Source organism: Homo sapiens, chromosome 1 (assembly GCF_000001405.40).
Source record: "Homo sapiens chromosome 1, GRCh38.p14 Primary Assembly".
In the NCBI taxonomy this organism is placed as follows: domain Eukaryota; kingdom Metazoa; phylum Chordata; class Mammalia; order Primates; family Hominidae; genus Homo; species Homo sapiens.
Genome location: NC_000001.11, coordinates 12,668,660 through 12,679,908, shown reverse-complemented (window position 1 = coordinate 12,679,908; position 11,249 = coordinate 12,668,660). Strand labels below are relative to the sequence as shown.

Below are 11,249 nucleotides of genomic sequence, written 5' to 3'. Positions count from 1 at the left end.
CCTAACCATCCAAAGCTGATAAACAACCACACACTCTTAAGCTACCTCAGTATGCTGGACCCTCACTTACCTAACTGAAGTCTCTTTCCTGACCAGCGAGCAATAGGACTTGTTTTAACCAACTAGGTTTGCACTTAAGGACTCAATCTGCCCTTCTCAGGCAGGACCAACTTGTACTACCTCACCCCACCCTTTTTTTTTTTTTTTTTTTTTTGAGACAGGATCTCACTCTGTCACCCAGGCTAGAGTGCAGTGGCATGATCTTGGCTCACTGCAACCTCTGCCTCCCAGGTTCAAGCAATTCTCCTGCCTCAGCCTCTCAAGTAGCTGGGATTACAGGCACCTGCCATCATTATGTTGTCCAGGCTGGTCTCAAACTCCCGACCTCAGGTGATCCACCTGCCTCAGCCTCCCAAAGTGCTAGGATTACAGGCGTGAGCCACCATACCTGGCCAACATTGATGGTTTTATGCAAGGGAGTAAGATGACCTGACTTATGTTTTTAAAAATTACTTTAGGGGCCAGGTGTGGTGGCTCACACCTGTAATCCCAGCACTTTGGGAGGCCAAGGCAGGCAGATCTCTTGAGGTTAGGAGTTGAAGACCAGCCTGGCCAACATGGTGAAACCTCGTCTCTACTAAAAAAAAAAAAAAAAAAAAAAAAAAATTAGCCGGGTGTGGTGGCACACCTTTAATCCCAGCTGCTCAGGAGGTTGAGCCAGGAAAATTGCTTGAACCCAGGAGGCAGAGGTTGCAGCGAGCCGAGATTGCACCACTACACCTCTGAGTGAAGCGTGAGACTCCATCTCAAAAAAAAAAATTACTTTGATTGGGAAGTCCCTACAAAAGTTCAATGTATGACCCAGCAATTCCACTCCTAGGTATATGCCCAAAAGAATTGAAAACAGGAACTCAGACAGATTCTTGCATGCCATTGTTCATAGCAGCATTGCTAATGACAGCCAAAAAGTGGAGACAACCCAAGTGTTCATCAGTGGATGAATGAATAGACAAATTGTGGTATATTCATACAATGGAATGTTATTCAGCCATAAAAAGGAATGAATAGAATTATGGCAAAACTGATGAGATGTCACTTCCAAGATCAGGTTTTATAATACACTTTTATAGTAACAACAAAGAGACTGAGGCTTCCCTCTGGGTATACGGGGCACCCCCTCCCTTGCTTCCTCTCTCACTCTCTGGCTCACTCACTCTGAAGCCAGCTGCCATGTGGGGAGCTGGGAAAGGCAGTCTCCCACATGCAATCTTTCCACCCCCATTTGGCCACATCAGAATGGACGTTGGGGCTGGGACATTTCATAACATGACCTGTGCTAGGCTTGCTGCCTTGTGTGGGAAGATCTTTCCCTGTTGCTAGTGTGTGCTCCTTTGTTCTGCCTAAGCATGGGCATCACATGGCATCTGGCCAACTCCACTGCTGTGTCTGTCTCCATGGGAGGGAATGGGGTCCTTCAACTACAGCATGAGAGAGGTGCATGTAACCAATTGCCCTGTGTCAGCTGCCCCAGGAGAGACTCACTGGCCATGGGGGCTTTGCTGGCCATGGGGACACACTATTGACACTTTTTTTTTTAACTTTTATTTTAGGTTCAGGGGTACTTGTGCAGGTTTTTTATATAGGTAAATAGCATGTCACAGGGGTTTGGGGTACAGATTATTTCATCGCCCAGGTAATGAGCATAGTACTCGACAGGTAGTTTGTCAATCTTCTCCATCCTCCCATCCTTTACACTCAAGTAGGTCCCAGTGCCTGTTCCTTTTTTGTGACCATGCATTCTCCATGTTTAGCTCTGACTTATAAGTGAGAATATGTGGTATTTGGTTTTCTGTTCCCAAGTTTCACGTAGGATAATGGCCTCCAGTTCCATCCATGTTGCTGCAAAGGACATGATCTCATTCTTTGTTATGGCTTTGTAGCATTCCATGGTGTATATGTACCACATTTGAAGCTGATCATCCTCTGCCTCTTCTCTATGTAAGTCAAGCTTGCTCCATTCAGTGTTTAACTAGGTTGTGTTTCCTTTGGCCATTCCAGTACCAAGATGCAATGGGCAGAAGTGTTTGGACCTCTCCCCTGGAACTGGTAACTGGTACACAGTGTTCTGCTTCACAATGATGTCTTTAGCCAACAGCCAGTGAAGCCCTGAGGTTTGCCAACAGCCACATGAGTGGCCAAGGAAGCTAATCTTTCCCCAGCTGAGCATTGAGATGATGGCAGCCCTGGCTGACACTTGATTACATCCCATGAGAGATCCTGAGCCAGAGACTCCCAGCAAGGCTGTGTTCAGACTACTGCCCCACGAAAACTGGGAAATAGTGAATACTTGCTGTTTTTAGTTGCAAAGATTTGGGGTAATTTGCTATGTAGTAGTAGTAGACAACCAACACATATTTTTAATACCCGAAGTAGGGAAGTACAAAAACCTAAAAATGTGTTGGTAATTTTTAATGTTTATTTATTTATTTGTTTGAGACAGGGTCTCACTCTGTCACCCAGGCTGGAGTGCAATGGCATGATCATAGCTCACTGCAGGCTTGACTTTCCAGGCTCGGGTGATTCTCCCACCTCAGCTTCCCAAGTAGCTGAGACCACAGGCATGTGCCACCATGCCCAACTAATTTTTTGTATTTTTTGTAGCGACGGAATTTCACCATGTTGCCCAGGCTAGTCTTAAACTCCTGGACTCAAGCCATCTTCCTTGGCCTCCCAGGGTGCTGGGATTACAGGTATGAGCCACTGCACCTGGCCAAAATGTGGTTGTAAACTTAACCTTGGGCACAGTGGTATGGCTTACATTTAATGAAGTTGAGATGCCAGGGTTTCCCCAGCACTATTTGTAGAAGGAAATCCAAAGTCTTATGGAGATGGGACTGTTGGACTGGATTTCTCTTTTGCAACCTGCACGATCACCCCCCAACTACAAATGCCAAGAAGGCACAGAAGACAGTTCCCTTACTAACACACCAAGAAATTCATTTTTGTGGAGGACATCTATACCCTTAAAAATGTCTGAGGCCAGGGGCAGTGGCTCATGCCTGTAATCCCTGCACTTTGGGAGGTCGAGGCAGGTGGATCACCTGAGGTAAGGGGTTCAAGACCAGCCTGGCTAACATGATGCAACCCTGTCTCTACTAAAAATGCAAAAAAGTAGCCGGGTGTGGTAGCGGGCACCTGTAATCCCAGCTACTCAGGAGGCTGAGGCAGGAAAATCACTTGAACTCAGGAGGCGGAGGTTGCAGTGAGCCGAGATCACGCCGCTGCACTCCAGCCTGGGCAACAAGAGCAAAACTCCGTCTCAAAGCAACAACAACAACCAAAAAAAAAAAATGTCTCTGATTATTCTCCTTAGTAAGCAGGTATGACTGTGGAGGAGGCCACATTGAGATGGTCTTTCTAACTTTATTCAAGATAATGGTATCTGTGATGGTTAATACTGAGTGTCAAGTTGATTGGATTGAGGGATGCAAAGTATTAATCCTGGGTGTGTCTGTGAGGGTGTTGCCAAAGGAGATTAACATTTGAGTCAGTGAGCTGGGAAAGGCAGACCCACCCTTGATCTGGGTGGGCACTGTCTAACCAGCTGCCAGTGCAGCTAGAATATAAAGAGGCAGAAAACAGGAAAAGATGAGATGGGCCTAGCCTCCCACCCTACATCTTTCTCCCATGCTGGACCCTTTCCGTCCTCGAACATTGGACTTCAATTTCTTCAGTTTTGGAATTCGGACTGGCTCTCCTTGCTCCTCAGCTTGCAGACGTCCTGTTGTGGGACCTTGTGATCATGTGAGTTAATACTTAATACAATTCCCCTTTAGATGTATATCTATCCTATTAGTTCTGTCTCTCTAGAGAACCCTGAGTAATACAATATCACAGAGCAGTAGAGGACTAGCGGCAACACTTCATCACCAAAAGCAAGGTGAGTGCATTTACCATAAAAAGCAGGAGAGACGCGGGGCATCTCTCCTGTAATCCTGGCTCACAGATTATGCTGGCTCATGCCTGTAATCCCAGCACTTTGGAAGGCTGAGGTGGGAGGATTGCTTGAGCCCAGGAGTTTGCAACCAGCCTGGACAATATAGTGGGACCCTCTCTCTACAAAAAAAAAATTTATAATTAGCTGGCCATGGTGGCACATGCTTATGGTTCCAGCTATTTGGGAGGCCATGGCAGGGGGATCGCTTGAGCTCAAGAGCGTGAGGCTATAGCGAGTCATGTTTATGCTACTGCCCTCCAGCCTGTGTGACAGAGTAAGGCCCTGTCTCAAAAAAAAAAAAAAAAAGCAAGAGGGATGTCCCAGTAATCAGAATGCTCAGCCCACAGAAATCTAGGCAGTGGCTAAGTGATCATGGTGTCTCAGGAATGAAATATATCATCAGTTTATTAGAGTGATTTTTTTAATTTAAAAAAAGCTCCAGGTCTAGTGCCTATAAACCACTTAAGTCACCACAGTAGAGCCATGACCTCTCATCCAGTTTCCAAACCTAAGTCACTCCACAGATACAGAAACCCTTGATAAAAGTAGAGCCTGGGTCTCCCTGAGGAAGGACCCTCCAGCTTTGCCTCAAGTATACACTCTAAATCTTCCCCAAGCCCTCCCCAAAGGGATCTGCAGTCATTTACCAGAGTGACTGTGCACAGGAGAAAAGGAAACATTCAAATTGTTCAGGAATCGGTACACATAGATTCTAAATTAAGACTTGTCCTAGGGACCTGTAGTGCTGGTGGTTCTCTCAAAGTCGGGGCTCACTGTAATCAGGTGACAGATGAAATCTTGCCTCAAGTCCAACTCACACTGGGCCCAATTGGTCCAAAGACACGTGTGTTTGTTATATCTCTAGTGCCTCAATGTATCATTGAAATAGACATATGTGAAAACTAGCAGAATCCTACATTGGCGCTCTGACCAAAGGGATGAGTGTCACTGTGGTAGGAAGCACTATGTGGAAGGCCCTGGACTTCCCTTCCCTACCAAGACAATAAGCCAGAAGCAGTGCTGCCCCTTCCTACCCCCAGGAACTGCAGAGATTCATACCACTCTAGAAGACTTCAAAGAAGCACCTATTGCACCCTGATTTAATTCACCAATGAGAAATGTGCAAAAATCAGATTGATCTTGGAGAATGTTTGTGGGTGATTCTAAAACTGCTCATGCAGTAATTTTATAATTCAATTGCAGCTGTTTTTCCAGCTGTAGCATCATATGGGAGCAAGTAAACACAGCTCCTGGCACTTGGTAAGCAGCTACTGACCTGGCAGATGCCTTTTGTTCCATACCAATTTTGTAAGGAATACCACAAGCCACCTGCCTTTATCTAGCAGGGCTAACAGTATACCTTTACATTCTCACCTCAGGGCTATGTCAATTCTGTTTTCTGCCATAATATACTCTTCAGAGATGAGGATCATGATATTCCTGTAAACATCACACTGATCTGATACATCAGTGACATTGTGCTGACTGGATCATATGAGCAGAAAGTAGCAAGTACTTTAGATTCTGTGTTAGGTTCAACCCAGGAGACAGAAACAGGGAGTCACAGATATAAAGAACAGCCACTGCTCCTAGGTCAAGATCTGACCTTATTTTAGAGGACATGGTCATAGGTAACTAGAAAAGGTGCCAAAAAGCCATTCATGGGAGAGTGTCTAGTTGGTGACACTCTGCTGCAAAACCATCTGAATGTTACCAAAGGAGGCTGCTGGTCACTGAGTGTGATGGCCGCTGGGTACTGTAGGAGCTAGACATCAGAGAAGCCTTTCTCAGTGGGCCCCACATGTTGGCAAAACTGAATGCTGCAGGAAACCGTGGTAGAGAAAACACAAACTGCAGACATCTGGCAAGAAGAGTACACCAGAACTAAGACGAGAAGCCCGCCCTTTTCCAATATTTCTCCAGCACCTTCTACTGACAAACCTTAACATTGTTGGCCAGGGGCGGTGGCTCAGGCCTGTAATCCCAGCACTTTGGGAGGCCAAGGCAGGTGGATCACAAGGTCAGGAGATCGAGACCATCCTGGCTAACACGGTGAAACCTCGTCTCTACTAAAAATACAAAAAAAAAAATTAGCCAGGCATGGTGGCGGGCGTCTGTAGTTCCAGCTACTGGGGAGGCTGAGGCAGGAGAATGGCATGAACCCAGGAGGTGGAGCTTGCAGTGAGCCAAGATCGGGCCACTGCACTCCAGCCTGGGCAACAGGGTGAGACTCTGTCTCAAAAAAAAACAAACAAGCAAACATTGTTTCAGGTGACAAAATAGAACTATGTCAAGGGTATGTCAAGAACTGGGGAATAGGTCTCAGATTTTTATCCTACTTGCAAACTAATATTTTATCCTACTTGCAAAATAATAAGACTAATAAGTCTACTTGCAAACAATAAACTATCCACAGTTTCATGGATACTGCCAGAAAACATGAGATGTCAGGCTCAGATTCAAAGATTATTATTATGTATAGCATGGCAAACAGAATGAACTTCACATTAGCGTTGGTTCTCCTTGCCTCCCAGATCCCATGGGAATGACACAGAGAAGCCCAGGTGGATGGTGTGCATGGTAGGGGTGCATCACAGGTGAGGAACTCTGACCTTCAGGGACTCCAAATCTTCTATAAGCAAGAAAACCTGCCTAACCTTTTCCCTATTATCTTTTTTTTTTTTGTAACTTTAAATTCTGGGATACATGTGCAGAATGTGCAGGTTTGTTAGTTAGGTATACAGGTGCCATGGTGGTTTGCTGCACCTAGCAACCCGTCATCTAAGTTTTAAGCCCCACGTGCATTTGGTGTTTTTCCTAATGCTCTCCCTCCCCTTGCCCCCCACCCCCTGACAGGCGCTGATGTGTGTTGTTCCCCTCCCTGTGTTCATGTGTTCTCATTGTTCAACTCCCACTTACGAGTAAAAACATACGGTGTTTGCTTTCCTGTCCTCTGTTAGTTTGCTGAGAATGATGGCTTCCAGCTTCATCCATGTCCCTACAAAGGACATGAACTCATTCTTTTTTATGGCTGCAAAGTATTCCATGGTGATATGTACCACATTTTCTTTGTCCAGTCTCTCACTGATAGGCATTTGGATTGGTTCTGTGTCTTTGCTATTGTGATTAGTGCCACAATAAACATAAGTGTGCATTAAGTGTGCATGTGCCTTTATAGTAGAATGATTTATATTCCTTTGGGTATATACTCAATAATGAGATTGCTGGGTCAAATGGTATTTCTGGTTCTAGATTCTTGAGGAATCCCCACATTGTCTTCCACAATGGTTGAACTAATTTACATTCCCACCAACAATGTAAAAGTGTTCCTATTTCTCCACAGCCTCACCAGCATCAATTGTTTCTTGACTTTTTAATAATTTCCATTCTGTCTGGCATAAGATGGTATCTCGTTGTGATTTTCACTTGCATTTCTCTAATTATCAGTGATGTTGAGTTTTTTTCATATGTTCATTGGCTGCATAAATGTCTTCTTTTGAGAAGTGTCTGTTCATATCCTTTGCCCATCCTCATGGATAGGAAGAATCAAAGTCATGAAAATGGCCATACTGCCCAAAGTAATTTATAGATTCAATGCTATTCCCATCAAACTACTATTGACATTCTTCACAGGATTAGAAAAAACTACTTAAATTTCCTATGGAACCAAAAAAGAGCCCATATAGTCAAGGCAATCCTAAGCAAAAATAACAAAGTTGGAAGTATCATGCTACCTGACTTCAAACTATACCACAAGGCTACGGTAACCAAAACAACATGGTACTGATACCAAAACAGACACATAAACCAGTGGAAGAGAACACAGACCTCAGAAATAACACCACACATCTACATCCATCTGATCTTTGACAAACCTGACAAAAACAAGCAACAGGGGAAAGGATTCCCTATTTAATAAATGGTGCTGGGAAAGCTGGCTAGCCATATGCAGAAAACTGAAACTGGACCCCTTCCTTACACCTTATACAAAAATTAACTCAAGATGGATTAAAGACTTAAATGTAAAACCCAAAACCATAAAAACCCTGGAAGAAAGCCTAGGCAATACCATTCGGGACATAGGCATAAGCAAAACCTTCATGATGAAAACACCAAAAACAACTGCAGCAAAGCCAAAATGAACAAATGGGATCTAATTAAACTAAAGAGCTTCTGCACAGCAAAAGAAACTAGCATCAGAGTGAACAAGCAACCTACAGAATGGGAGAAAACTTTTGCAACCTACCCACCTGACAAATATGTAATATCCAAAAGATCTAGTATCTTTATGATACTAGACAGTAAATAAACTTGCCCCCTGGTGCAAGAGAAAACACTATATCTTCCAAGATTGATTACTCTACAAACATCCTCAAAAAGACAATCTGGATCAAAGGCCATCAGTGCTTCTGTTCACAACAGGCACAGAAATGTGAGAAACCCAGGGAGAATGGTCTCCCTGCAATCTTCACCACTCATTACTTGATCTTGGCTTCTGGGAGATTTTTCCATGAGTATCCCACGCCTTTAGCCACTCTGATTAATCTGACTGACAAAGGCTGGGGATGGAGGGAATCTCCAATTTATCCTGTAAAGTATTTAATAAAGGCTACTATCTACAGGACTCCAAACAGCAGGATCAGGCTAATCTATGGGAGAACTGACCAGTTGAACAAATCTGATCAACCATCTGGGCTTACCTTAGAAAGCTAGGTGGCTTGCTTTATAAGTGTTTGTACTGATTTTTCTGCTTGGCCGGCAGCATTGATTTAGCCACAGCAAGATGTAATAGCAATTACACAGACTCCACCTTGGCCCATAACAAGGAAATCTAAGGTAATGCTATCGTTCACAGTAACCCTGGGTGGCAAGGTGAGGCTGGCCTGGGTGCATCTCAGGGCCATAGCAGTGTTTCCTTAAATATGCAAAAAAACACATACAAGGCTTTCTCCTCCTAGGAAAAATACAAGTTACTATATTTGAGGGAAAGAGGACAAGATAATACGTGGCTTCCACATAAGAACTTCAGCCCCAGGGGCATACATGGTACTTCTTGAAAGAAAGCACTGTTTGCCAGGTGCTGTGGCTCACATCTATAATCCTGGCATTTTGGGAGACTGAGGAGGGAGAATCACTTGAGCTCAGGAGTTTCAGACCAGCCTTGGCAACATGGCGAAACTCCATCACCACCAAAAATGCCAAAAAATTAGCCTGGCATGGTGGAGCATGCCTGTGGTCCCAGCTACTGGGAAGGTTGAGGTGGGAGGATGGTTTGAGTTCAGGAGGCTGAGGTTGCAGTGAGCCAAGATCACACCACTGCATTCCCTCTCTACTGCACTCTGACTTTGGGCAACAAAGCCAGACCCTTTCTAAAAAAGAGAGAAAAAAAAAAAAGAAAGAGAAAGCACTGTTTACAATTTGGGGATTCACCAAGTGGAAGCTATATTCACTGGAGGGCACAGGTTGACAGTGTCTCTAATGGCTGGCTGGCATTAATAGTATGCCAGCAATCCAGTCAATGTTAGGGTTCCCAAGTGGGCAGAGCAGCTTCTATAACAGCCTGAGCTTGCTACAGAGCCTTCTCTTGCTCTGTTTCCCACTTGAAACAGGCAGGCAGGCAGGCAGGCTATGGGGAATTTTCTAGTTGGATGGAAATAGCTGGCACAAATGTGCTATATGTTGCCTTCAAAATCCAAAAGCCCTAATAAGCATTGTGCATTTTTCATTGCAGATGGCACAAATGCAGCAACTTGTCTTTCACCTTGGAGCAAATATTTCAACATTCTCCACATCACCAAACCACCAGAAACTTCACTGATGTAGCTGTCCCTTAATTGTTTTGGAGTTTCTTTCACTTTGCATATGTCTTCCTAAGGTATTCTAAACTACATGCTGCTTCCTGCCTAACAGATCCAATAAGTATAATGCCATCAACATAATGGATTATCATGATGCTTTCTGGACTGTCAAAGCAATTACAATCTCTGAGGACTATATTAGAGCAGAAAGCAATATTGGCATTTCCCTGAGGCAGGACGGTAAAAGTATACTGTTACCACTTCCAGATAAAGGCAGGTGGCTGCTGGTATTCCTTACAAGTTGGTATGGAACAAAAGGCATCTGCCAGGTCAGCTGCTTACCAAGTGCCAGGAGCTGTGTTTACTTGTTCCAGTATGATGCTACAGCTCGAAGAACAGCTGCAGTCGAAATCATTGCATGAGTAATTTTAGAATCACTCATATGCATTCTCCAAGATAGATCAGACTTCTGCAAATTTCAAACTGCTGAATTAGATCAGGGTGTGATAGGTGCTTCTTTGAAGTCTCCTAGGGTGGTATGAATCTCTGTAGTTCCCTGTGTGGTGCAGCACTGCTTCTGACTTATTATCTTGGTAGGCAGGGAAAGGTCCAGGGCCTTCCACATAGTGCTTCCTGCCATAATGACCCACATCTCTTTGATTATAGAGCCAATGCAGGATTCTGCCAGTTTCCACATATGTCTATTTCAATCATATATTGAGCCACTAGAGATATAATGAACACATGTGTCTGTGGAGAAATTGGGCCCAGTGTGAGTTGGACTTGAGGCAAGACTTCATTTGTCACCTGACTACAGAAAGCCCCCACTTTGACTGGGAAAGCCACAGAAACACTGTCCTCAAGATTGGTGTCAATTCAGAACTAGTGTCTAGTGACTTCTGTGTTCACAATTTCTTATAAGTGTTCCTGGATATAAGTTTTAGCTAGGTTCTCAGAGGTAGAAAATGTCTTATGAAAATGTGATTGTACTTAGAGGCTGATAAAGACTTTTGAGAGAAAAGAAGAAGACTGCTGATATGGTTTCTTTCTCCTGATTGGACCCTACCTAATACAAGGACATACAGTTTATGTCATAAAAATATGCTAGGAATAGCTTAGAAGAAGGTGCAAATTACTCCACCCAGGGAAGGCCAGATGGGAGTAATGGGAGTAGGGGAAGGGAGAGTTGGGGAAAGATTAGAGGACTCTACTGGGGGAACCATTGGTCACTAGCTCCAAGTCAGGCCAATGGTTACAGACTAACCTGAGTTTCTCAGGCTGAGAAGTTGGGTTGACTGTTCTTCCCAGCACCTTCTGGTAAGGCCTTCTGTGGAAGACATGCTCTAAGGTGGCCTCATGGTCCCCACTCCCCAGTGGTCATACCCATATGAAATCCCTTTGGGTGGACAAGGCTTATGAATTGCTTCTAACCAACAGCATATGGCAAAGGTGAT

General features: G+C 44.3%; 1 annotated feature.

Moving 5' to 3' along the window:
- Positions 3,101 to 3,436: a silencer, noted in NCBI's record as "fragment chr1:12736484-12736819 (GRCh37/hg19 assembly coordinates)". NCBI's record gives its function as "represses an EF-1alpha promoter that drives an FKBP-Casp9 reporter gene in an ReSE screen in K562 erythroleukemia cells {active_cell/tissue: K562}" and the evidence as "EXISTENCE:reporter gene assay evidence [ECO:0000049][PMID:32094911]".